General features: G+C 47.4%; 1 protein-coding gene across 14 annotated transcripts, besides 5 other annotated features; it reads right to left on the bottom strand.

The window, feature by feature from the left end:
- Nucleotides 1-27606, bottom strand: MANBAL (mannosidase beta like). 14 transcript variants are annotated; one of them, NM_001387339.1, is made up of 6 exons: nucleotides 27575-27606; nucleotides 19727-19965; nucleotides 18382-18498; nucleotides 15848-16053; nucleotides 14938-14981; nucleotides 1-953 (listed from the first exon to the last, which is right to left on the bottom strand). In NM_001387339.1, exons 4-5 carry the CDS (start codon nucleotides 15995-15997, stop codon nucleotides 14961-14963), a joined length of 171 nt encoding a protein of 56 aa, NP_001374268.1. In that variant the 5' UTR covers nucleotides 15998-16053; nucleotides 18382-18498; nucleotides 19727-19965; nucleotides 27575-27606; the 3' UTR covers nucleotides 1-953; nucleotides 14938-14960. The 14 variants fall into 14 exon arrangements, with proteins under 14 accessions (NP_001374268.1, NP_001374264.1, NP_001363461.1 ...); NM_001387335.1 differs by lacking the exon at nucleotides 14938-14981 and having other exon boundaries at nucleotides 15848-16090; NM_001376532.1 differs by lacking the exon at nucleotides 14938-14981.
- Nucleotides 680-1589: an enhancer, noted in NCBI's record as "H3K27ac-H3K4me1 hESC enhancer chr20:35944075-35944984 (GRCh37/hg19 assembly coordinates)". NCBI's record gives its function as "activates a minimal SCP1, AML or CMV promoter by ChIP-STARR-seq in naive H9 embryonic stem cells {active_cell/tissue: H9 hESC(naive)}" and the evidence as "EXISTENCE:reporter gene assay evidence [ECO:0000049][PMID:30033119]".
- Nucleotides 1035-1204: an enhancer, noted in NCBI's record as "active region_17835". NCBI's record gives its function as "activates an Ori minimal core promoter by ATAC-STARR-seq in GM12878 lymphoblastoid cells {active_cell/tissue: GM12878}" and the evidence as "EXISTENCE:reporter gene assay evidence [ECO:0000049][PMID:35858748]".
- Nucleotides 1590-2497: an enhancer, noted in NCBI's record as "H3K27ac-H3K4me1 hESC enhancer chr20:35943167-35944074 (GRCh37/hg19 assembly coordinates)". NCBI's record gives its function as "activates a minimal SCP1, AML or CMV promoter by ChIP-STARR-seq in naive H9 embryonic stem cells {active_cell/tissue: H9 hESC(naive)}" and the evidence as "EXISTENCE:reporter gene assay evidence [ECO:0000049][PMID:30033119]".
- Nucleotides 25394-25503: an enhancer, noted in NCBI's record as "active region_17834". NCBI's record gives its function as "activates an Ori minimal core promoter by ATAC-STARR-seq in GM12878 lymphoblastoid cells {active_cell/tissue: GM12878}" and the evidence as "EXISTENCE:reporter gene assay evidence [ECO:0000049][PMID:35858748]".
- Nucleotides 26732-27636: an enhancer, noted in NCBI's record as "H3K27ac hESC enhancer chr20:35918028-35918932 (GRCh37/hg19 assembly coordinates)". NCBI's record gives its function as "activates a minimal SCP1, AML or CMV promoter by ChIP-STARR-seq in naive H9 embryonic stem cells {active_cell/tissue: H9 hESC(naive)}" and the evidence as "EXISTENCE:reporter gene assay evidence [ECO:0000049][PMID:30033119]".

Here is a 27636-nt window from a genome sequence, read left to right as displayed (position 1 = left end):
TTCTGAAGCATGCATGTCAGTTTATTCACCATACTTCCCCCAGGAACCCTCTCACTGGTCAGGGAATGAAAGAATTGAAGGGATGGGGGATGTACAGGTAGAAGTAAAAGGCACACCTTGAACGTGCTATGATGGGTTGAAAAGAGGTTGGTCTGAAATTGACGAGCCTCCCATTTCAGAGGCTCAGGAAGTTTGTGCCCAGGAAATATGCACGCCTTCAGCCAAATCCCCTGCACCTGATGGAGCAGAAGCAGGCACTGCCTACCCTGGCCTGGCTGTCTGCTGGCTCTCACGCCAGGCATTTTCTGGGCCTGGCTGTCACAGCTAGTGGGATCACTAACGCTGCATGTCCATGGCATCTTGGCCTAAACAAACAGGTGAGGCCTGGCTCTGTCTACACAGCAGCAACAAAGGTGACTGATCAGGAGGAGATCTGTAGTGCACAAATAATGGGAGAGGGTGTGCTTGTCAGCATTAGACAATGACTCCCAAATGTAGTGTAAACCCACAAGGAGGGGGCAACTCAAGGAGGGACACATGACTAAGCAAGAAAATGTGACTCTGTGAGCTGACCCGGCTTCTGAACAAACCTAATACAGTCTATGCTCACAGTGTGTTTCAGCCCCCTTGACTCTAAACCGTCACAGAAGCAGAAGGAAGAGGAAGTGGTGGATTGCCCAGCTGGAGCCTGGGGACTGTTACGACTGTCTAGATCTCTGCGGTCATAGGGCGTCACAGCCTCCTCAGACCCTGAGCCTGGAATGCGGGGGAACACAATGTAGATTCCCAGGAGGGCTGTCCCCAAGACCCTCTCCCTGCCCGCCCAGCTCCTCAGGCCTCCTCTTCTACCGCTTCTTCTTAGTCTCTTTCTTGGGCCTCTTGTTCACAGAAGGAACAGCAGCCTTGGGCTTCCTCGTCACCTCAGCACTTCTGGGCTCAGACGGTTCAGCCTCCTGTGAGGTGATAAAAAGGAGAGTCCTGCTTAGATGGATCAAGCCTGACGCCAGCAAAAGGAGATCACATCTGAAAGCAAAGAAGCATGCCACAGAAACACAAGAGATGGAAACTGTCATTCCCGGGACCTACCACCCACACGGATGTGGGACTGCCCCGGAGCATCGTGGCTCTCAGTGAAGAATAAAGGAAGCCCCACGGGGAGGGAGCAGCTTGTGGGGTCTCAGACGCCCAGGTAGAACCTGGGATCCTTCCCTTTCCAGCCAACTGACCTTGTGTGAAACTCACTTCCCCTTTCTGTGTCTTGGTTTACTCACCTGTGAAATGGAAATAGCCACACCCGCCTTACAGGGCTGATGTGAGGAGGCAAAACTACGTGGAAAGCACCCAGGAAGTGCCAGCTGCACCCAGTGACTGGCCGATCACCTCGTGCCAGGGACTGGACAAAATGTGGGCGAGGAGCTGGCTATGGGGCAGACCCACTGTGGCTTGCCCTCCTCTGGCTGCCATTCTTGTCCTCCCATTCAACCCACAGAATGCCAGGACTGGGAGGGGTGCAGAGGGCCAGCCGGCAGGTGGGCAGTCCCACACTGTGTTCTGCGGAGCCTGTCAGAGGTGCCTCTGTGGGGGAGGGCAGAGGCAGCCTCGGGGCAGAATTCCAGACTCCCTGGGCGACAGGAGCAGCTCTGATTTTCAATCTATTTCATACACTGTGATTTGTCCCTTGTAAGATTGAAATGAAACAAAGTTCTGCTGCTAAGGAACGAAAGGTTGAAACCCACAGATCTAGCCCTGGCGTTCATTGTGCTGATAAGGAAGGGAGACTCCAGGGAAGGGACACAGCTTGGCCCAGCCACTCAGGCTCATGTCAGAGAAGTATCTGGAATAGGCTCAGTGTGCTCCTATCTAGTGTCCTCTCCTCCTCTGGGTGATAACTTGCAGTGTGCCGTGGCCAGAAAGGACGGACGTCAGAGAGGCCGGGCTAGCCCAGAGAACGCCAACCACAGCCCACAGGCCTCGTCCAGGCCACAGACTTCATCTGGCCGGCAGTGTTTATTTAAAAATTTAAGCCAATTGGGAGATTTCCCATGAAATCTGGATTCCTAGATTCTCTTGAAACTAACCATCCGGTGACAATGGCCCTGCATTCCCTCATGGCAGTGAGGGGCTGAGGAGGCGCTGCCCCTTTTCAGGTGCCGACCGTGGCCCCCACACCCTGCCGCCCCCAGCACTATGATTGGGAAATGTTTCTCAGTGCCCATGTTCTTTATTGAGAAATGGGAAAATAAGAAGCAGACTAAGACTCCTGGGAGGGGGGACACTTCCAGATGAGAAAAATACCCCTCTGTGTTTCATTTCCCAACCCCGGCTTCCAGCTCACTTTACTCCCTGACCTTCCCTGCTTGCCCCATTGGCCCGTGGCCCAAGCCTCAGCCCACCCTACAGAAGAGGAGGGCCCATGCAGGGAAGGGCAGTCCCTGCCTCGGATCTGATCCAGAGGCCTGTCAGCTCCCTCCTATCGGCCAACATCGTCTCCCATCAGCCAGGCGAGATAACCAGATATGAAGAGCCAGCCAGGTCCCAGGCCCCCAAGGAGTGATTGTCCCAAGATAACTGGAGGGCTTCCCCTCCCCAGCCAGGCCTCTCACTGCAGTGCTGGATTCCTTCGGCCTGCTGAGCCTCCTCCCACCAAAAATCAAAATGATCTGAAGGTCCCCCTACTCTGTTTATGTAACTTGGCCAAAACAAAACAAAACAAAATTTGCAAGGCCTGCCTGGATCTCTAGGAAGGAGTCTGCCTTCTGAGCTCAAGGCTGGGGGCTCCTCCAGTTTCAGTGGGGCTCAGTTCAGAGACCACAGGGACAGTGAGACCCAGTTGCCGCCCCAGTGCCTCCCTCACTCCACAGGCCCTGTCTCTAGAGCCTCAACCATTCTGGCACCTCCCAGACCTCTCCCTTGATCCAGCTGTCTGCCAGACAATCAGGACTGGCATCTCCAAGGCACCTCCAACTTAACTGTCCCAGACCCAGAAGGCCCGGCCCTCCTCCCACTGGTGGAGCAACCAGAGACCCGGTAACCTCACCCTCTCTCTGCTCCCCACTGTCCAGTGGGTCACCATGTCCTGCTGACATGACCCCCTCTACCTCTTGATTCTGCTACTCTCTCCAGCATCCAATTCCCCCTTCAGTTCCGCCCACAGCTAAGCAAAGTGCCTGCTGTCTCTGTCCATTCCTCATGCACCCACGAAAGGAACTATTCTAAAGTGCAGGTCTGACCACTGCACCTTCCACCTTAAAGCTTCCAGTGGCTGTCTCTGGAATGGCATCTAAGAAAGGCCACCTCTCCAGCCTCACATGGGCTCCTCTTCATCCCTCACACTGAGTCAGGCCCCAGAGCTTCCGCTGGTCACCTTCATCAACAGGAATACCTGTTTCCTTGGCCACCCGGCAAACTGCTCCCATGGTTTGGCCCTGTCCATGAATACACTCCTACTCACTGTCTAGCCTTCCTTCCCTGCTCCTCCTTCCAGCTGGGGGCAGCCCCTCCTCCCTCCTCGGGCCCCTAGGCACCCAGGAACCTTATAATGCCACCATTCTTTTTAAGACAAGGTCTCACTCTTTTGCCCAGGCTGGAGTGCAGTGGCTCGATATTAGCTCATTGCAACCTCCGCCTTCCAGGTTCAAGTGATTCTCCTGCCTCAGCCTCCTGAGTAGCTAGAATTACAGGCACCCGCCACCACGCACAGCTAATTTTTTATATTTTTAGTAGAGATGGGGTTTTATCATGTTGGCCAAGCTGGTCTCAAACTCCTAACCTCCAGTGATCCACCCGCCTCAGCCTCCCACAGTGCTGGGATTACAGGCGTGAGCCACTGCGCCCAGCCCATAATGCCACTATTATTTTCCCATAGTTACATGTTTTCTTTGTTTTTTTTTGAGACGGAGTCTCGCTCTGTCGCCCAGGCTGGAGTGCAGTGGCTCGATCTCGGCTCATTGCAAGTTCCGCCTCCTGGGTTCATGCCATTCTCCTGCCTCAGCCTCCCGAGTAGCTGGGGCTACAGGCACCCGCTACTGGCTAATTTTTATGTTTTTAGTAGAGACGGGGTTTCACCATGTTAGCCAAGATGGTCTCGATCTCCTGACCTCGTGATCTGCCCGATTCGGCCTCCCAAAGTGCTGGGATTACAGGCGTGAGCCACCGCGCCCAGCCAGTTACATGTTTTCATGTTAGTCTCCCCTATTAGCCCATGAGCACTTTGGGATAGCTTCAACTGTTGCTGAATCAATGAATGAGTGAATGAATGAATGAAATGAAAGAACAGCCAAGGTCTCCCAGTAACCATGAGAACTTCATTCTTGTTTATTCCCATGAAAATACAGCACTTAAAACCAGGCCTCACTTTTCCATGATCACAGAGGATATGAACAGACTTAAAACCGAATATACATACCCTGGCCTAAATTATGCCTTAAGCATAGCTGCCAATAATAACAACAGCTGGGCGTGGTGGCACATGCTTGTCCTCCCAGCTACTCGAGAGGTTGAGACAGGAGGATCACTAAAGCCCAAGAATTTGAGGCTGTAGTGCGCTATGACTGTGTCTGTAAATAGCTACTACACTCCAGCCTGGGCAACAGAGAGAGATTCCCTCTCTAAAAAACAAGAGCCACAACAGCTGCTAATTATTTATTGTTTATAATATGCCAGACCCTGTGTTATGTGTCTGGACATGACGGCCTCACAAAGTGCCATAATGAGGCCCAATTTATAAACAAAGGAACAGACACTCAGGTCATATGACTTGCCTAAGGCCTTAGCTGGTGAGTAGCAGACCCAAGATTTGAAACTAACCTCTTCATGGGTACACGGTCCAGCCTCTCCCAGGTTTCCTGGGGCCCTCAGGGGTAGGAATAAGTTGAATCTGAGTTAACTATGAAATCTACTCTCTACTTAGCAGCCCCCAGAACCACAAGGTGCCTCTGGAATGGTAAGTACAGCTCCTCTGAGAACCTATCTGTCAATGGGTCACCTACAACCCCTTGTTTGTGACTAAAGTCCCTACAGCAATCAGAAAAGTGGGTTTGTGCTCCAGATCACGCTTGATTTTTTACAGCTGAAGGGAGTCTTCTGTGGGTGTGTGTACATATTACAGTTATCGAGTCATCTGAATGCTTGATCTGTCTCCTCCTCACCCCAGACCTCCTCCTCTCTTCCCTACCTCAGCTTTTAGAGCCGTCACGCACCCAGTTACCCAAGCTAGATACCTCCAAGTCATTTATGAGTTCTCAGCATCCAACCTGTCCCCAAGGTCTGTCCATTCCGCTTTCCAACGGGCTCTAGACCCAGCCAGTCCCCTCTGGACACACTCCACTGCCCAGATCAGACCCAGGTCCCCTGCCGGCCCCACTGGTTGCATCTGCCTCCCACAGACTCTCCTGCCCGTGCCTCTACCTCCCCATGCTCGTCAGAGTTTACTTTACGTTCCTTTCAGAGTCGATTTTCCTAAAACAATGACAACAGGCCGGGCGCGGTGGCTCACGCCCGTAATCCCAGCACTTTGGGAAGCCAAGGCAGGTGGATCACCTGAGGTCGGGAGTTCAAGACCAGCCTGACCAACATGGAGAAATGCCATCTCTATTAAAAATACAAAATTAGCCAGGCGTGGTGGTGCATGCCTGTAATCCCAGCTACTCAGGAGGCTGAGGCAGGAGAATCACTTGAACCCAGGAGGTGGGGGCTGCCGTGAGCCGAGATCATGCCATTGCACTCCAGCCTGGGCAACAAGAGCAAAACTCAAAAAAAGTTTCGCTCAAAACAAAAACAAACAAACAAATAAAAAAAACAATGACAACAACAATCCCAATCGTGTCTGTTTCCTCCTTCAAAAACTTTGCTGGTTCCCCTTTGTGTGAGATAAATTCCAAGACACCCAGCAGGGGCTCCAGGCCTCTTGCTCGGTCTTGGCCCCTGTCTCCAGGCAGGCCCCGTCGTGCAGCCTACTCTTGTCACCCTGAGATACTGGCCAGCCAGTGTCTCCCAGTACTCTGCTCCCTTTCCTCCTCTGTATCTCTACCTGCACCCAGTACATGTGGGCACTGTGCCACGGGGAATGAAGATGAGAACGCACACTTAGTGGCTGTGTGCCATGTGGATGCTCACCGAGCCTCTCCATCGCCCTGGTGAGCCAGCCACCACGAGCCACACTCCACTGGCAAGGCCACTCAGGCTCCCTGAGGCCAGGTGACGGCCCCATGCAAGCTGCAGGGAAGCAAAGGCGGCCGTGACCCACATGACCTGGGCCCTGGGGTCCCAGCCACACAGGGCCTGTAGCTCCAAGTTCTTCACTGACAAGAATGACTCTCAATTAAGGGCTGCCTTTTCATTTCTCCTCAAATGTACGCTGCCCGTACCAGCCACACAGACGGCAGACTACAAAGCCGACAGCCCTGCCTTTAAATCTGGGAGCACTGCGCCTCCTCTCAAGCGAGCCTCAAGTTTCCTCAGCAATCACACTGTCACATATAAAAGAAAACTCCCGAGGCCAGGTGGCTCCTGGGTTCACAGTGGCGTCCTCTGTGGACACAGGCCCCATCAATAATGAAGCAGCTCTGCAGCGCTTACCAGGCCAGAAAATTGCTGCTATTCATCAGATCCAAATAATCAAATGTGTGCCACAATACATCATATCCCTTCCAGCATGAAAAGTGCATTGAATTTTATGATTTCCACTCTACAGTTCAATGTGGATTTAGTCCTGTAAATCAGGACAAAATGTCATTCTACGCAGGCCACTCTTTCCTTGAAAATGGCCCAGGTGCTATACTCAGGCATCTTCGTGCACCTTATCTTGCATGACCCTCTAAGAACAATGGAGTTAGGCAGGAATATCCTCTTCTGATGACGGAGGCAGACTAAAAGCAGGTCAGCACTCAGACCAGTCTGCTTAACGCTGAAGGTGCTGCCCATCCCAGCGGGCCATGAGGGCCTGAGACAGGGTGGGAGCTGAGAAGGCCTCGCAGAGATGAAACTAGCAGTGGCCTTGAGGAAAGATAGGACTGGCTGAAACAGAGAGCAAGGAAGGCCATCCATGTGGACTCAACAAGGCAAACGGAGACACGGAGTCCAGGATGCGCTTGGCAGGCGGGGAGAACTGTGATTAGAAAGAACAGCCTTGGGAGCTCATTCCAGACACAATTCAGCACGACTATGCTGGCCCTCCCCACTGGCTGCTCTGTGGCTCCTTGTGTGTCCAGCCGTCTCTCCCAAGAACCGGTCGGTACACATCTCCAGACCACAGGCTGGTGGAAGCATGTTTATACCCTCATCACACGGCAATCTCTCCAGAACGGGTCATTAAGTAAAAAACAGCCTGCCTCTCAATTCAACTGCAACCTCCTCCCAAGCTTTAAAACCACACAGAGCAGAAATGCACAGTTGCTTCTGTGAGTCTGTGTCCTGAGGTGTTGAGAATGGGTGGATGCTTGCCTGGGGCTCATTATTTATTTACGGCAGGCCTCACTGGCAACTAGCGGCCTCGTTTAAAATCAAGACCCTTGTGCAAAATTTTCCAGAAGAGTCCTGACCTTCTAGGCCACTGTCCTACTGCACCACAGGAATGAGCCACCTGTGGTGCAGTAGGTGCAGGTGGCTCACCATACTGATGAGCCAAAACATCATCAGGGGTCTAAACACTGCAGGGCTTTCTGGTTGGTTGTGAAGTCTCCACGGGCATCATATTGAAAGCCACCACTCTCACCATCGCCCGTGGCGAGTCCTCCACTAGATCGCAATGCTGGCCACCGGCTGTCTGTCTTCCCAGCACCTCTTTTCCATGGGGACCCTGCCCTTTCCCTATCCCATGGGGGTCTGGGGGACTCTCAGTCACTGGGGTCACAAGAGTAGGCAGCTAAATGTGGCCTGGCCAGAGACAGCACTCATTCCTGCTTCCCACCTGTGAGACAAGGTGTATGTGGCCAAGGAGAGGCCTTCCATGAGACTCAGAAGGTGAGGAGAGGCAGAGAAATGGCTTCTCTCACCTGTCAATCCCGACTGATAAGGGCACTGACTGTGGCTGCTGCAGCCATCTTTCCCAACACAGAACAAGGGCCTAGGAAGGAAGCCAGCACTCCCAGGAAAGCCAGGAGAGAGAGAGACACATGAAGCCCTGGAGACCCCTTGAACCCCTAAATCCAGCTGTCCTTTGAAATTCCCAGTTCCAAGAGCCAATACTGTTTCCATTCGGGGAAGCTGCTGGAGCTGTTTCTGAACTTGCAACAGGAAGAGTCCCCACTAATATGAGACGGTGGCAATCAACAAACATGGCAGAGTAGAAGTGAAAGGACCTGCCTTCTAGAAGCAGGCAGCTGGCTGTGAGCTGACGAGATGCACTATAAGCATATGAACAGATGAGAATAGTCAACACTGAAACTAGGAGAGTTTCTGATTCACTACCGTGTATGACTGACTATCTGCCACACAAGTTGCTGAACTCAAAGTCTACACCCACTTGCTTAGTTACCTTCGTGCACCTTATCTGGCTGAATCAACACTCTGTGTAGAAATCGATCCGGAAGAGGCTTGGAGGAGGGTTATGGGGAGGAGGAAGACAGGCTCCCCACCTTGAGAAGAAACCTGTCCCCCACTTCCCACTGCACTCCATGTAGAGAGGCTATGGACCATCTCCCCCAGAAAATGTGCCTAGGCATATAAAACCTCACATTCTTGTACACAATTTGAGGGGGATCACAGACCCCTCAAACCTATCCCAGGACTTCCCTAGAAAGCCAGGAACTCCCTATTGAGAACTTTCTTCTACTGAAACCCAACTCTGAAGGACGGCAGCTGGAACACAGTGGTGGTGTCAGACTAGGCTGGCTTTCCCCAATCCTCTCCAGGGAACTGGTGTCACATGTGCTCTCCATGAACCACTCGGTGGACTTCAGGGAGGCCACACTCTCCTGGTCTCCTGCCCACTGCTCTGCCTGTCACTTGAGAGAGGGAGAGAAAGGGAGACCCCAGCTTTGTCTGCCTAGCAGTCCCCCTGTGGGAATGGACCTTCCCATCCTCACTCAGAGGTCACTCCACAGAACCCTCCCCTCCCCTCCACTGGCCACAGCTGTCCCAAGCTGGGTCAGCCACAGTTCCTTCCCTGGGGATGCTGGAACTGAGACCAGCAGGAAGGCATGGTTGTGTTTAGTGGCTGTGCTGCATCTCACCACAGGGCCAGCAAGCAGAGAAGCAGGGTCCTAGTTAGAAAAGCAAAAGACAGGAGGGAGACAGGAAGGGAGGCAGAGGGCATGCCAGTGAGGAGCAGTAAGTCCCAGTTCCCACCACTTCCGGAGGCCCTGCGGCGCTCCTGCTCTTGGGTTCTAGGACAGCACCCGCACCTTCTCAGTCTATCTACATTGCACGGAAACTACTTCAACAGGTTGGGTATGCTCCAAGTTCACGTCTTTCCTGGATCTTCATTTCCCTTGCAAAACTCAGCAACTCATTCTTGGGTTTCAAGTAATAATGCTGTATTTGTTTGGTTTCCTTTTTTTTTTTTTTGAGATGGAGTCTCGCTCTGTCGCCCAGGCTGGAGTGCAGTGGCACAATCTCAGCTCACTGCAACCTCCATCTCCCGGGTTCAAGGGATTCTCCTGCCTCAGCCTCTCTAGCAACTGGGATTATAAGTACACACTACCACGCCTGGCTAGTTTTTGCATTTTTAGTAGAGACAGGGTTTCACCATGTTGGCCAGGCTGGTCTTGAACTCCTGACCTCAAGTGATCCGCCCACCTCAGCCTCCCACGTGCTGGGTTTACAGGCATCATAATGCTCTGTTAATAAAATAATTGTCAGGTCTCTATTCCCAACTTCTTGCTCGCCTTTCCTTTCCCACACGGAACATTTTGCTATTATTTCAAACTTAACACATCTAAGAACTGAACATATCCTGTCCTCCTAAAATTGGTTTGTGTTTGAGGGAAATTATCTAAAGACTTGAGTAGTGGCTGCATATTACAATCACCTGGACACTTTAAAAAAATACTGATCCAAGCCGGGCACACTGGCTCATGCCTGTAATCCCATCACTTTGGGAGGCCAAGGTGAGAGAATCACCTGAGCCCAGGAGTTCAAGACCAGCCTGGGCAACATAGTGAAACCGTGTCTCTACAAAAAAATTATTTAAAAATTAGCCAGGTGTGGTGGAGCACACCTGTAGTCCCAGCTACTGAGGAGGCAGAGGACGGGAGGATCACTTGAGTCCAGGTCGAGACTGCAGTGAGCTACGATTGTGCCACTGCACTCCAGCCTAGGCAATAGAGCAAGACCCTGTCTCAAAAACATAAATAAAAAGAAAATACTGATCCAAGGCTTCAGAGAACAACTGAATCAGAATCTCTGGGTGTGGTCTAGGCCTTTGAAAGTTCCCCAGATGGTTCTATGTGCAGCCTTGTGGAGAATCATTGGCCAGTCCAAGGACCGGCACTGTCATTCTCTAATCCCAGCTCACAGCAAACAGACATCATTGATCAATTTCTTTCCTCCAGAGCAAAGCAGCAGCCCCCAGAATCCTTTTCACCATGGCCACCAAGCAATTGATCAGACTTGGCATGAGAGATGAAACTTACCAGCTAACCTGGACTAGATGGAAATGGTACTAGGACCTACTATCTTCTATTTTAGAATCCAGCCTACAAGAAAATGCTTGGATTAAGTGTGGCCCACGCCTCCATCAGGCTCAAACAAATGTTTGTTTTCTTAGGTCTGAGTTTAATGAGTTGCCAATGAGAAAACCTTTTCATTTGGCTTACGATTCTAGGGACTTGGTTTTTGATTTTACAAATTGACTCTTGCTCCTACTATGAAAAGGAAGGGGGTGGGGTGGGAAGCATTTGTATGTGTTCCCTCTTTTCCTCCCTGATTAACCCCAAAAGAGCTTTCAAATAATCTGCTAAGTATTGAAATACTGAAGTCATAAGCAAGTTGCAAAAAATCGGCTTACTAGAACAGGAAACATTCTTTTGCTTTTCAAAGGCTTTCCCATCATCTGGAGCCAAAAATATTATCTTCTGACCCAAAAAGCCACTAATAAACCCTGTTTCTATAGGCTAAGCAAGAGGGAAGATTTTGCCCTGAGCAAAACGGCAAAGAGGGCAAGACTGTTCTCTGGGTCCTCCCACCCTCACTTCTGCCCCCTCTCCTACCTCCTGCCACCCTCCACTTCCAGGTATCTCCCAACTGCCCTCTGGCTGCCTAGTGTCTTACAAGCTGCCCCCACTCCCATGGGCTCCCTTTCTCCCTAAGAGTACCCCGTCCCCATGTTAAAACCCCCTTCTTTCCCCTCCAAACTCCTTCCAAATCTCAGCTATTAGGGACAACCTCTAAGCAGCACAGTCTCAGCATCCACCCTCTCTTTGTAATCCTGTTTATGCACAGAATGCTGTGTTTCCTTTCTATCTAGTTAGGAGTTTCGGAAGTGAGAAAGGCTGCCTTATGGAGACACACAGAGAGCTAGCGACAGAACCCCCTGTATAACCTGGGGCCATTTGCTCCCCTGATGCGCCAGTAAAAAGTTAGATCAACAGTACTGTATTTTTTTGCTACTGATCCATTGAAAAGCTAAAAAAAAAAAAAAAAAGTTAAAACAGTAAGCTTCAGTTATGAAGACAATTTACTTGTGTGAGCCTTGTTTCCCTAAATGCAAGATTAATAAAAATGAGAGATGTCATGTACTATATTTAAATTTAAAAACATGAGGTTGTTGTCCAAAAGTAACCTCTAAATGGCAGTGGGTAGGGGGGTATGATGGCATATTTTTGAACCCTTCATCAACTCCCTGCCTCAAAAGACTTTAACGCACTATCCCACTGAAAATCTTAAAGAGAACAATAAAGGGGCTCCTTTTCTGAAGTTTGCTGAACTAACCCAGGCTTCTGTGGCTTACTTCTAAGGGCTTCAAACACAACAGGAGGTGAGCAGCCTCCCTGCTCTCCAAACAGCCACACACCTCTGCCTATAAAACAAGAAGGCTCATCACCTCCCTCCCTCGGGACTCTTAGCAGGCCTCATCAGCCACCAACAACCACATTTGTTATTTATAATACCGAATAGCATGCCACGTCTGCAGGGACAGAGCCCAGGAGCACAGAGGTGATGTTTTTAAAATGCGATACAATTGTGGGTGGAAGAACGCCAATAGTGATCTCCTTCTCAAGATACCAGAATAAGAGATGGACAAGACAACCTAGAGGCCACGAACCCATCCCTGTTCACCAAGGTTTTCCCACCCTTGCTGGCTGCTCCTCCCCTGCCTGTGCCCTCTATGCTGGAGCCCCTCCAGCTCTGGCCTAGGTCCTCTTCTCATCTCCCTCCACATTCTCTCCTTAGGAGACCCTGTCCCCTGCCGTGGCTTCAAATGACATCGTATCAACTCCCACATGCTGGTCAACACTCAGCCCATGCACTCCTCCTGCTAGAGACCTTGTAAATCCACCGGCTTTTTTGACAGAACCACCCAGACATGTTAAAGTATCTGTTTAAAACTGAACTTGGCATGTTCCTTCCCTGCACCCACCCTAAGCCTGTTCCTTCACCATAGTTCTCCACTGCATCAATAGGTTCCACATTGTATCAGTAATTCCCCATCATCCTCCCAGCTACAGAAGCAGCATCTCCAGGAACAGTGATATCCAAGATATATGGATCTCCAGAACATATTGCGTATGTTAAGTGAAAAAAGAAAGTTGCAAAACTGTGTTTAATAGTATGCTATCTTTTATTTAATGAAGGGGGGAATATAAATATATATGTACACACCATACACATATATATGCATTTGTTACTGTTTTCAAAAAGAAACAAAGGAAAGATAAACTAATAACAACTGTTAACTATGTGGGAAGGAAGGGAATAGGGTGGAGGAGAATGAGATTAAAGGAAACTTCTGTAAATGTACCTTGTTATATAGTTTTGACTTTGAGAAATATTGTATATAAATGTTTTATATAATTAAAACAACAAATTAAATCAAAATTTTAAAAATCTCTAAAAATTAAAAACAGATTGAAGCAAATTAACCAAACTATATCTCATGATGGGAGACCTACACAGAGAAAAATAGTTACTAAACACAACATTTTGACCTTGTATCTCCACAAAGACATATTTTAAGGCCAAAAAAGAATCACAAAGAAGTCTTAAATTTCATTCTGAGTCTTAGTAGTAAAAAATATAGTTATTTTAAAAGTGTAACTGGTATATTGTAGATGAGCAGAATAAAGTTAATATAAATTGCTAATCTTAGAGAAGCATGCTTGCAAGGTTGGCCCTTGACTGGCATCTGGGAACTTGGATTCCAGGTGGTTCTCACAATTCCCAGAAATGATAAGAGTGGCTCACCACGCCTATACTGTGTAAACAATAAGGTTCATGCTGAACACCTGCTTGCTTTCTGGAAGTCTGGAATTTTGGTACATGCTAGGCCAAGGGTGCTTCTGTAACCAGTCCTCAGTAAGAGATGTGGGCACTGAGTCTCTAACTCACTTCCCTGCTAGATAACACTTCACACACATTGCCACAAATCCTTCCTGTGGGTATCCAATGGGAGAGCACTCAGACGCCTGCGCCTGTTTCCTCCAGTCTCTGCCCCATGTACCTTTTCCCTGTGCCGCCATACCTGGTATCCTTTCACTGCCACAGCTGAGAGTCCTAGTGCATCACTGAACCTGGGGTGGTCCTGGGGACCTCAGATTCAGTAGGATCTAGCAGATACATCATTTTGTTAATGTTATTGAGAACAAGATTTCCAGCATAAGATAAAGAGTTACAAGACACTAGTATAAAATCAAATAAATAGAAACACTATCACCTTACATTTGAATTGGAAATACCAGTATGAACTCACAACTTTTTCATTTCTTAAAAAATGTTTATTTTCTATTTCTGTTTATTGAAAGGCCTAGATGCAATCACAGCTCAGTAGCACTGAAAACTTCTAATGTCCCAACTGTAGCCTCTAGATACTATTTTCTAGCTAAAAAGAACCAGAGCATTTTAGAGAAATGACTGATTCCAAGACTGGGGCAGGAAATGTACAAAATGAGCCTGGGGCCAGGCGCAGTGGCTCATGCCTATAATTCCAGCACTTTGGGAGCTCAAGGCAAGTGGATGGCTTGAGCCCAAGAGTTTGTGACCAGCCTGGGCAACATGGCAAAACCGTGTCTCTACTAAAAATACAAAAATTAGCCAGCCATGGTGGCACACCTGTAGTCCCAGCTACTTGGGAGGCTGAAGCAGGAGAATTGCTTGAACTTGGGAGACAGAGATTGCAGTGAGCTGTGATTGTGCCACTGCACTCCAGCCTGGGCAACAGACAAGACCCTGTCTCGCACACACACAAAAAAGAGCCTGTGACATCTTATTGAACCATGAAGCAAGGAAGCTATCAAAGACTAATGAAGTATGACAAAGAACAAAGACATCAACTTAAAGGGGCTCCCACTGAACATAAAAAACAAATTAATGGCAGATAAGTGCCCTCAAAAAAAAAAAACTAAAACATATTAAATATATTAAAAATATGTTCAGAATGCTATGAAAACCAAAGCTTCATTGGTCATCATTGGAAGTTGCTAGAGTCTGAACTCACAACTTTGAAAATTGATAAATAAAGGGAAAGAACCAAGCATTTTTCCTGCTTTTCATTATGAAGAGCAATTCAGAGTAATCATACAAGTGATAAGGAAAAGGTCTTTGTTAAAGAATTCCAGCTAACAGATGCAGAAGGAAATAATGGATCTAAGCAACGACCATCAATGGATGCTAAAACCGCTTAGGTGAAAGACTGACCGGATTTTTATAATGGAGGGATCAGCTGATACCACCTAAACCCACCGATCAATCCAAGAATCTCTAAATGTGCAGCAGCCAGACACCACCTGCTTGTTGATGCCACACAGTAGGGAGTACATAGCACCAGCTCTGAGGTATTCGTACCCAATAACCTGACTGGAATGGAATCAGGCCTCTACATGGAACTCCTGTTGACAGGAAACACAGGGAACAGAGAAACACGTTAAATGACACCACAGAGAAGCAATAGCCAATTCCTGGGATGTAGGTATCCCACATGACAAACGACCTGCTTTCTCCAATAAATCAATGTCACGAGCAAATGGGAGTGGGCAAGAAAGTGGGTAGAAGGAGGGTGTATAGTTATAAAGATACTTACAGAAGAAGAGTCAAAACAACAACAAAAAAGCCAATTTGACCATGTCATTCTCACACTTAAAACCCTCTGGCCCCTGCCCACACCTCTGGCTGCACCACTCATCATGCCCCCTCTGTGCTCTGGCCACAGTCACCTTCATTCAGTTCCTTGAATTAGCCCCTTCCTTTATTGAGTCCCTTGCACGTGCAGTGCCCTCTCCCTGGAATGTTGTCCTCGCCCCTTGCCCACTTTCACCTGGCAGAAGCCTGCTCATTCCTTCAGTCTCAGCTCAAACACTGCCTCCTCGGCAGGGCCCACAGCCCAGGGTAAGATCAGGTCTCTCTCCCCCTTGTTATATAGCCTCACTGGACTCTGTACTTCTCATGGGAGCACATGGAGGTATGTTTTTGTTATCTGCCTTCCTCCCAAGGACTAGATGCTCCTCAGGTGCAGACACTACATCTTCAGCAGAGTCTGAAATGTAGTAGGCACTAAATAAAAATCTCCTTAATGGGTACATGAACAAATAAAGTATTAGCTATGTGGTTCAACCCACCAGGTGGAAATTCAGAGGCACACTAAATCAAAAAGGCCCAATGTAGACCCTGCTGATCTCAGTTGTGGTGGCACCTACTGTTAGTACTCAGAACCCAGCCTGGCACTCAGAGGAGCTGAGGCTCCCAGGGAAAAACTCACCGCCTCGTGGGACTTGGGAATGGGTACGATGATGGCCAGCACACAGATGAGCTGGAAGATGGCTCCCAGGAAGAGTCCGTACCGTAGCAGGTTCTCCAGGAAAGTGGGCTCGGGCACCTCCGGAGGTGAGAAGTCTAGGTCAGAGGCCATGGCCCAAGTCGCTTGCTGCCTGACGTCTCTTCTGACTCACCACTCTTTAGAACCAACTTGTAAATGCAAAGGGTCAGTGTCATATTTCTGTAACTGACATTTATTTATTTATTTATTTATTTATTTATGAGATGGAGTCTCACTCTGTCGCCCAGGCTGGAGTGCAATGGCATGATCACTGCAACTTCGGCCTCCTGGGTTCAAGTGATTCTCTTGCCTTGGCCTCCCGAGTAGCTGGGATTACAGGTGTGGGCCAACACACCTGGATGATTTTTGTATTTTTAGTAGAGACAGGGTTTCACCACGTTGGCCACGCTGGTCTTGAACTCCTGACCTCAGGTGATCTGCCCGCCTCAGCCTCCCAAAGTGCTGGGATTGCAGGTGTGAGCCACCTCACCCAGCCTGTAACTGACTTTTAACTTGAACACACACACACACACCCAAGAATATATACAGGAATTGTGAAATGTTAACAACTCTTGAATCTAAGTTGGGAACATATGGTCAGTCAATGAACCATTCTTTCAACTTTTCTGTGTATCTGATGTTTTCCAAACATAAAGTTGAGAAAAATAAATAAATGCAAAGGGAAGCACTTCAACAAAAATCTCAAATCAACATACATTTACTAAAGGCTGCTACGTTTCAGGTTTTGTTGTTTATTTATTCATGTAGTCATCCATTCAACAAATATTTCTTGAATACCAAGCACTGAAGAATGAGCAAAACAGACAAACCCCTGCTTTCTTGGAGCCTCTACATGCTCAGGATGGAAGCAGACAATGAACACGTCGAGATGTGATATGCCAGGTAGTGATAAGCATTTTGGAAAAAACTTAAGGGCATCATTTTATTTTGTGATGAGAAGGCTCTCTCTGAAGAACAGAGACGGGAATGGAGTGGAAGAGATAAGAAGTGAGAGAGGGAGCCATTTGTGTATCTGAGGGAAACACGTTCCAGGCAGGGAAAAAAGCAAGTGTGGAGGCCCCAGGGTGGGGAAATGAGGCCAGTACAGGCAGAGAAGTGATCAGGAGGGAGGGTGGAAGGAGGTATGATCAGAGAGGAGTGGGGGCGGACCCTGATACCTCCAATTTGATTGAGTAAAATGTAAAGCCACTGAAGGGTTTTGAGCAGAAAAGTGACATGATCTGACTTCCATTTTTAAATGGAGGAGGGACAACAAGGGGAGAGGCAAAGTGGACACAGGGAGAGCCAGGAGGAGGCCCCTGCCAATAAGCCAGACAAGAGCTGCTGATGGCGTGAATGACAGGGGCAGTGGTGGCCAGTGGTGCAAGGTCCAGCCTCAGCCCAGCTCTCCAGCCTCTCCTCTCAGCAGGGCCCCCACTCCTAATATCCTAGTCAAGCTGAAAGAACTGCTGTGGTTCTCCAAGAGCACTGGGCTCTTTCAAAATCCTGGGCCTCTGCCCAAGCTGCATACTCTGCAAAGAATGTCCTTTCCCACTGTGACTGCTTGACAAAGCCCCCACTCTGCCTCTAAGGCTGAGCTCAAGTGTCATCTCCCCAACATGCCTCTCCTGTCACCCTCCTCTTCCCCTGGCATGACTGAACTGCTCCCCCTTTACCACAGCACCCATCAGTGGCTTTCTTCTGCCCATCCCAATGATAAAGGGGCAAATTTACTTTGGAACCAGGCCCACTTGAATCTAAAACCCTTTGTGTTTCCAGAGATCTGTGCCACAATGCAATATTTTGCTAAGTCTGAGCTATCCAATATGGTGGCCATGAGCCACACATGACTATTAAGACTTGAAACGCAGCTAGTTTGAATTGAGATGCTAATTACACACCCATTTTCAAAGACCTAGTATGAAAATAAGAATGTAATCTATCTCATTCATAATGTTTTCATATTGATTACATGCTGAAACGATTGCAGTGGCTCACGCCTATAATCTCAGCACTTTGGGAGGCCACGGTGGGCAGATCACTTGAGCTCAGGAGTTTGAGACCAGCCTGGACAACACAGCGAGACCCCATCTCTACAAAAAAAATAATAAATTAGGCAGGAGTGGTGGCTCACTCCTGTATTCCCAGCTACTCGAGAGGCTGAGGTGGGAGGATCACTTGAGCCCAGGAGCTTAAGGCAGTGAGCCACGATCACGCCACTGCACTCCAGCCTGGGTGACAGAGCGAGACCCTGCCCCCACCCGACCCTGCCCCCACCCCACCCTGCCACCAAAAAATACACGTAAAAAATAATTGGCTGGGCATGGTGGGTTACGCCCAAAGTGTAAGCCCAACACTTTGACAGGCCAAGGCAGAAGCATCACTTGAACCCAGGAGTTTGAAACCAGCCTGGGCAACAGAGTGGGACCCTGTTGCTATAAAAAATTTAAAAATTAGCCGGACATGGTGGTACACACCTGTAGTCCCAGCTACTCAGAAGGCTGAGGCAGGAGAATTGCTCCAGCTGGGAGGTCTAGGCTGCAGTGAGCCAATGAGTCGTGATTGCGCCACCCTGAGTGACGGGGTGAGAGATCCTGTTTAAAAAAAAAAAAAAATTGAATTGAAAGCAAGGACTCAAGATACTAATGTTCATAGCAGCATTATTCACAATAGCCAAAAGATGGAAACAACTAAGAGTCCATAAACAGATGAATGGATAAGCAAAACGTAGTATATACATACAATGGAGTATTACTCAGCCATAAAGGAAATGAAATTCTGATACATGCTACAACATGAATGAACCTTGAAAACATTATGAGCTTTGAATAAATATATATGAAATAAGCTAGACACAAAAGGACAAATATTGTATGAGTCCCCTTATATGAGGTACCTGGAATAGGCAAATTCAGAGACAGAAAGTAGAATTGAGGTTACCAAGGGCTGGAGGGAAGGGAAATGGGGAGATATTGTTTACTGGGTACAGAGTTTCAGTTTGCAAAGATGAAAAAGTTCTAGAAATAGACAGTGATGACGGTTATACAACACTGCAAATACCACTGAATTGTAAACTTAACAATGGTTAAAATGGTAAATTTGTTACATATATTTTGTCACAATTTTTTAAAAATCTGTTTCTTTTTACCCATTTATTTATTTATTTATTTAGAGACAGGGTCTCACTCTGTCACCCAGGCTGGAGTACAATGGCACAAACATAACTCACTGTAGCCTCAAACTCTTATGCTCAAGTGATCCTCCTGCCTCAGCCTCCCAAAGTGTTGAGATTACAGGCATCATCCCTTTTTGCTTTTTAAATGTGGCTACTGGAAAATGTAAAATTATACATAGTCTGTATTATATTTCTGTGGGGAAGCCCTGGGGTAGAGACAATCCTAAAGACCTGCCTCACAGGGCGCAGTGGCTCACGCCTGTAATCCCAGCACTTTGGGAGGCTGAGGTGGGCAGATCACCTGAGGTCAGGAGTTTGAGACCAGCCTGACCAACATGGAGAAACCCCGTCTCTAATAAAAATACAAAAAAATTAGCCGGACATGGTGGCAGGTGCCTGTAATCCCAGCTACTTGGGAGGCTGAGGCAAGAGAATCGCTTGAACTCGGGAGACGGAGGTTGCAGTGGGCCGAGATCACGCCACTGCACTCCAGCCTGGGCAACAAGAGTGAAACTCCATCTCAAAAAAAAAAAAAGGCCTGCCGCCACCTTGGCTCTGCTGCTTCACTGCTTTGCACCATGTTTCCAACATGAAGTAACCGAAGAATAATAAAAACAACCTTCGTAAGTAAACAGAGCCGGACTTACACACGAGTATTGCTTCCCTTTCAGCCTGGTCACTTCAGAAGGTCATGTGCCTGGGGCAACAGGATGGCCACTTTTCACATCAGCTCTGTCTACCATGGGAATGGCCTTCAAAGCTTGAGGCTCTTTTTCTTCCCAGCCAGAATCCTCAGAGCTGGCAGATCTTCATCCTCCCAGGAAGGATTTGACTTCTGGAAAGAGCCCAACATCATCTGGTTCCAAGTGCAGTGAATCAGGTGGCACTGAGCTCAGGAATACCATTTTTGGTCAAATACAAGGTATGATGCTCAGACTCCAAGCAGATTACTTGGGGTGGCTCATAAACTGGCCCTGAAGTGAATTCCAAGGCGGCTGCAAGAACAGCTTCACTGGAAGAAATGTAACAGCCTCTACCAGCACCACCACCATGTGAATACCAAAGCTTAAGAACGCGTCCTCATTTCTCCGCAGTTGCACCTCATAAAGTGTGCATTTTTTAAAACGCCCTTGGCCCCAAGCTTTTTGCTTAAGGCTGTAACAAGCTTTATGAGCTTATAAATACTCAGATTTACTAGTGTTACTACTAACAGCAACATTGTGATAAGAAATATTTGGAGTGGTACAATAGAAAGATAGGGCAAGAGTTGGGAAGCAGAGGACAAAAGCCCCTGCTCTATCTGCAAGTAGCTACACTTTGGGCTAATAATCTCTTGACCTCTGGAGACGGGATGTTCTCATGAGCCAAGCAACAATGATACCTATAATACATTTAGGCCTTTTTTTAAAAAATGGCAATTAGACAAAATATAACAAGAGCCATAAAAGTGATTATATCCTTTGACTGAATAACTTACTTCCTAGAATTTATAGTAAGGAAACAATTCAAAAGAAGAAAAAGCCTTCAGGTACAAAAAAGTTCATGGCAGCACTATTCATAATACTGAAAAACAGGAAGCAACCCAGGCGTCCAACAATCAGGAAGCAGTTAACCCAGTGATGGTACATCATGGCATAATCCCTCTTCACTAACCCGGCAAATATAAACATTGTGTATCAGGTCAGTGGAAAGTCTTTGCAAAGTAACAGTAATTGAAAAAAATAAGCAATTGTATAAACACTATGATTGGAACCATCTATAAGCTGATTTCATGGGCTAAAGATCAAAAGATGCTACAGAAACATAAATAGTTGCTGTTAAGGTGAATAAGTCATGAGTTTTAATTTTTTGGAATGTTATGAAACAATAAAGTATCTAAGAAAAATCTATGCCCTACCTACTTCCTTCACAAGACTTTTGTTAGGGTATAATGTCATACTGTCCAATAAAGCTTTCTGCAGTGATGGAAATGTTCTGTATTTGTGTTCTCCAAATGGTAGCCACCAGCCACATGTGGCTGTTGAAAACTTAAATGTTACAGAGAAACTGAATTTTTCATTTTATTTAACTAATTAACAATAAAAAGCCACATGTGGCCAAAGGTTCCCTACTGGACAGCACAGGTGTAACAGGAGGGTGGTTGTGAAAAGGTTCTGGAAACATAAACTGCTCTACACACACTGTGCGCCGTACGGCTCTCATCTAGTTCTCTCTGCACCTCTGTGCTTTACTTCCCAGCCCTCCTGCCAGTATTTCTGGGCTTTCCTTTCCTGATGACCAAAGTCAAACAAGTCCTATTCATCCTGCAGATCTCAACTAGGAGACACCCCTTCGACTGGCTGTGACAGGTTTTGTTCCCTGGCCATTGTTCCAGCAGCAGCAGCAGTCGGCAAATGAACGGCCAGGTGTTGCGAACAGCACTTTACAGGCAGCAACTCGCATACTTCACCACCACACTGGGAGGTGGTATTACTAATGAGGATGAGGAAACCAAGGCTTGGAGAGGTTATATGACCTACCCAGGGATAACCTGGCTGATAAGTGGCAAAGGCAAGATTCAAAGGGGCTGGCTTCCCCAGAGTCAGGGCGCTTACCCAGTATGTCAATCGTTTTCAAACTGCAGGCTGTGGCCCATTAGTGAGCCAGGAAAACCATTTAGGGGGCTGCAACCAGCATTTTTTATTAGCCAGCACTTTATTTAAGTAGGTAAATAACAATAGAAAATATCAAAGAGTATCACATTAAGGGCCGGTATTATATCCTGAAGCTTTTTCAACATCCATCTACATCTGAGCATGCATGTGCTGGATCAAATTTTAGAATGTTATTTCTTATTGTTTGAGAAATATTACACTGGAATCTACTGTTTTCTATTTGATCCATTGTAATCTCTTGAACAGCAAGGATCTTGGGTACATCTTGAGTTTATTCCAGGTCCTGACTCATAAATATTTGGTAAATGACTAAGCCTATGCCTCTGTTTCCCACCTCGAAAGCAAGAGCAGATGCCTCAACCAACAGAGTCATCATTTAACGACAAGGAGGAGCTGAGAGGCCACGAGGTTTCCCTAGACTCTCCTGATGAGTCAGGGCAGAGCTGCTATCCTGGTCTCTAGCCCTGTCCTGCTCCAGACTTGCTTACAGGTAGAGGTTTTTATACACCAGGGGACTTTCATACCCCATCAGAATTTAACAAAAGGTGCATAATTAATTATTACTGAACGTGGCAAATAATTTCATGAGGTTACTGGACACTGCGAAGTTCACCCCTGAATGCCAGACACTGGTGACGTAAGACATTAATTCATTGGACAAATATTTATTGTGAATCTACTATGTGCCAGGCACTGGTCTAATCCCTGCCACGGAGTTTCCATTCAGTTAGAAGTACTCACATACACACATACACATGCAATGTCAGGGGTGAGTATTACAATACATACAGGAAGGAAGAAGAGGATAGTACTATTTAATATGAGGTGGTCGGGGAAGGGCCTCTCTGCAAAGGTGACATTTCAACAGAGGAAAGAAGAAAGCAAAGGAAGAAGTCATTTAAACATCTGCCAGAGTATCCCAGGATGGAGGGACGGCAAGGGCCAAGTCCCTGAGGCAGGAATAAGCATCATGATCAAGAACAGTCAAGTAAGCAAGCTGCAGGCCATTATGAGGACTCTGGCCAGTCTCTGAGTGAAAAGGGAACTACTGGAAGGTTCTTAGCAAAGAAATCACATGGTCTCACTCATTTCAAAATGATCCCTCTGGCTGCTTTGTTGACAACAGACTGTAGGGGACAAGACTGAAAGCAAGGAGACCAGTGAAGAGGCTACTTTAACAGTCAAAAGACACATTTGCACCAGGGTGGTAGCTGTGGAGGTGGTAAATTCTCAGCTTACAGATATATTTTGGTGAAGGCCAACAGGAATGCTGAGGTGAAATCTGAAAGAAGTTAAAAATAATCCCTGAAGAAGGGGAAACTATCCTGTATGACACTATAATTAGGAATACAAAATATTAAGCATTTGTCAAAACCCAAAAATCTTGACAGCACAAAGAGTAAAGTTTAATGTATGCAAATATTTTTAAAAAGACATAGGAAGGCCATCACAGTGGCTCACACCCATAATCCCAGAACTGTGAGAGGCCAAGGCAGGAGGATTGCTTGAGCCCGGCAGTTTGCGACCAGCTTGGGCAACATAGTGAGACCCAGTTTTTAAAACACACCAACATACACACGCATGAAGTCAGGGTGTTCCAGGATGGAATGCAGAATGTGACATTCTGAATCCAAATGTATTAAACAACTTCACTGAAAGGGTAGTGGGGGAATAGGGTGCTGACCTAAGTAACTTTGAAAACGAGTGGAGCCTGTAAGACTGAAGGCAAAAGGAACTGCACGTACACACTGTACTCTAGCTGATAAGTTGTTTCCCACAGGGGATCGGGGGAGCAATTCTAAAACCACCATACATGTATGCTAAATGGAACAATTAAGTAAATGTATGGTGAATGGTGGGAGTCGGGTTTGTCACAGGTGGAGTGGGAGGTTACAGACAAGCAAGAGAAGGAAGCTAGAACACAGGTCCCCAACCCCCAGGCCACAGACCAGTACCAGTCCATGGCCTGTTAGGAACCAGGCCGCACAGCAGGAGGTGAGCAGCAGGTGAGCAAGCGAAGTTTCTTTTATATTTACAGCCGCTCCCCATCACTCACATTACCGTCTGAGTTCCACCTCCTATCAGATCAGCGGCTGCATTAGATTCTCATAGAAACACGAACCCTATTGTGAACTGTGCATGTGAGGGATCTAGGCTGTGTGCTCCTTATGAGAATCTAATGCCTGATGATCTGTCACTGTCTCCCATCACCCCCAGACGGGACTGTCTAGTTGTAGGAAAACAAGCTCAGGGCTCCCACTGATTCTACATTATGGTGAGTTGTATGATCATTCCATTATATATTACAATGTAATAGTAACAGAAATAAAGTGCACAATAAATGTAATGCACTTGAATCATCCCAAAACCATCCCCACCCCCAGGTCTGTGGAAAAATTGTCTTCCATGAAACCGGTCCCTGGTGCCAAAAAGGTTGGGGACTGCCAAGCTAGAACAATCCATGCAGTCATGGATAAGAGTTGGACATCAGTTATGTTTAGCTGAACGTAGATACAGGTGGTTATATATGGAAATACTTCTAGATCTGTGCATATATACGTATGTCTCTTACTCTGTCCACTGCGAAGGCCTAGAAGCAAGGACACTGAGAAGCACTGAGCATACCTAGAGCCCAGATCTTGTTTTCTGGGCCATTCTCCAATAAAAGGAGCCAGGGCTCCTTGGGAAATGGCTAATTCTAGGACTGGGGCAGAAACATACCAGATGAGTCTGGAATAGAAAGAAAGTGCTCAACAAAACAAAACAAAGCAAAACATATAGAGGGGGATATGTCAAAGGGATACAGGAGCCAAGTGGAAGAGCTCCCAATGGCCAATGGAGGAACAATTTCAGCAACAAAATAAAGTAGTACTGGATTCTGGTCCAAAGTATAAAATAAACATCCATGAGTTCAGGCCCGGCATGGTGGCTCACGCCTGTAATCCCAGGAGAGGGGATTCCTGTAATCAGGAGGCCAAGGCAGGTGGATCACCTGAGGTCAAGAGTTCAAGACCAGCCTGGCCAACATGGTGAAACTCTCTCTACTAAAAATACAAAAATTAGCCAGCCATGGTGGTAGGTGCCTGTAATCCCAGCTACTCAGGAGGCTGAGGCAGGAGAATCACTTAAACCCGGGAGGTGGAGGTTGCAGTGAGCCAAGACTGCACCACTGCACTCCAGCCTGGGCGACAGCGGGAGACCCTGTCTCAAAACAAAACAAATCCATGAGTTCACACCGATACAAATATATGACTCTGTAAGCAAAAAATAGGGGAACAGACAAATTTCCCACAGAGAACTCCAAATAATTTGCATTATATACTCTGCCTTTAAGCATGGGGCATAATTCCACACTCCTTAAATGTGTGCTGTACATAATGACTTTCTCCAAAAGTACAGTGCGGAAAGTGCAGGAGGAAAAGTAACTCTACACTGGAAAAGCCTGACTACTACCTCAAGCCAGGTGGCTCAAGCTAACAGATGTCAACAATGATAACTCATATCGATAGTATGTACCCTTGATATGATGTGATGAGAATAGCACTTTACTTCTGTGGTTGGATTAGTCCATTTTCATACCACTTTGAAGAAATACCCGAGACTGGGTAATTAATAAAGAAAAAGAGGTTTAACGGACTCACGGTTCCACATGGGTGGGTAGGCCTCACAATCACGGCAAAAGGCAAAGGGGAGGCAAGGGCATGTCTTATGTGACAGCAGGCAAGAGAGTGTGTGCAGGGGAACTGCCCTTTATAAAACCATCAGATCTCCTGAGACTTATTCACTATCAGGAGAATAGCATGGGAAAGACCCACCCCCATGATTCAATTGTCTCCCACCAGGACCCTCCCACAACATGGGGGGATTATGGGAGCTACAATTCAAGATGAGATTTGGGTGGGGACACAGCCGAACCCTATCAGTGGTCCTCCTCCCCAAAAACCCATTACCCTGATCTTACTCATGTCAAAAACAGGCAAATCCTAATTAAAGGTCCTTCTGCAAAATATCTGACCAGTCAGTACTATCTTCAAAACCCTCAAGTTCATCTAAAACAAGGGAAGTCTGAGAAACGATCACAGAGATGATGAGCCTAAAGAGATATGATGACTAAATGTAATAGGGTGCCCTGGATAATACCAGGACAGAAAAAGGACATTAGGGAAAAACTAAGGAAATGTGAATAAAGTACAGATTAGAGTTAATAATAATGTATCAATATTGGTTCAGTAATTGTGACATTTCAGATATTAGTAATAGGGGAAACGTGGGCTATATGGGCACTCACTGAAGTATCTTTGCGATAACTTTGTAAATCTAAAATTATTCTAAAACAAAAAGGTTATTGGGGAAAAAAAGAATGGGTCAACATTTCAAAACAAATAAATAAAAAACCACTGAGACAAGTATAGCTCTCAAGACTTAGCAAATACTAAATCTTCTCTTAAGACTGAAAAACTCAGATTTCACGACTGCCACAGGCCTTCATCTCCCAATGTTGTGTACTGTGCTGGTAGGCCATTCTTGGCTTCTAATGAAGTAACTTTAAATTCTATTGTGAAAATTCAGCTGAAAACAGACTGGGGAATAGAAACCAGTGTCAGAAGTTACTGTTTTAGGCCAGGCACAGTGGCTCTTGCCAGTAATCCCAAACACTTTGGGAGGTCCAGGAGGAAGGATATCTTGCCTCCAGGAGTTCAAGACCAGGCAGGAAAACATAGTGAGACTCCATCTCTATTTCAACTTTTTTTTAATTAAAAAGAAAAAAAAGCCGGGTGTGGTGGCTCCCGCCTATAATCCCAACACTCTGGGAGGCCGAGGCGGGTGGATCACCTGAGGTCGGGAGTTTGAGACCAGCCTGGCCAACATGGTGAAACCCTGTCTTTACTAAAGATACAAAAATTAGCCGGGCGTGGTGGCACACGTCTGTAATCCCAGCTATTCGGAAAGCTGAGGCAGGAGAATCGCTTGAACCCAAGAAGCGGAGGTTGCAGTGAGCCAAGATCCCGCCACTGCCCTTCAGCGTGGACGAGAGAGAGACTCCGTCTCTAAATAAATAAATAGAATGGCTTTAAAAAAAAAAAAAGGAAAGAAAAAGAAGTTACCGCTTTATGGCAATGGGTTGTACAGCCTGGCCCGTCCCATTAAAACAAATTCCTAAGAACCACGCAAAACTAGATTAGAATGCAAAGCTAAGCCACCTCTCTGGGCAAAGTCACACTGGTAGCCGGTGGGCTGAAACTGGTGTGCAGATGCCCTGCAAAATATAATTATTAATCTAAATGTGTTGTCACCATTTTAAAAATGTTTCTCATATTCATTTCTCGCTTCTCTTAGAATTCGTACAACAAACATGGACTGTGCACCTACTAAGGGCTTTACATTCACCACCTCGGTTTACCCCGCAGTACAAGCGTGTATGTCCATTTTAGAAGACGAAACTGAGGGCCAGAGAGGAACCGTGACTTGCCCACGGTAAGAGAGCCATACGGATTCGAACCCTGGCCAGATTCACTCTGGAGCTCAGGGTTCTCCTACTGCTCCACCCGTGGGAGGAAAGGCCCGGACCAGGCCATGAGGAGCCCTGGGTTCTGGCCCAGCCTCCGCACGAAAGCGCAGGGCTGCCCCAGGCGAGGCCCTCCGCCTCCCGGGGGGCTCAAATTCCCCTCCGGAAGTAACTTTCGAACAACCGCCGAGGGAACGTATTCAGGCCCTGAGCGGAGCGACAGCCGGGCCCACCAAGCGGCGCCGCTGGAGACAGGCCGGCCGGGAAAGCCAGGCCACCGCACCGAGGACGGCTCTCTCTCGGTTCCCACCCCACCGCAAAGCTGCGGCACTCACCTCCCGCGCCGCCGCGCCGCTCCCCCGGAAGTAGTTCCCTGCGACCCTGAGTCCCGGAAGTG

This window comes from Homo sapiens, chromosome 20 (assembly GCF_000001405.40).
Source record: "Homo sapiens chromosome 20, GRCh38.p14 Primary Assembly".
NCBI classification, from domain to species: Eukaryota; Metazoa; Chordata; class Mammalia; order Primates; family Hominidae; genus Homo; species Homo sapiens.
This window is presented reverse-complemented; position numbering and strand designations above follow the sequence as displayed.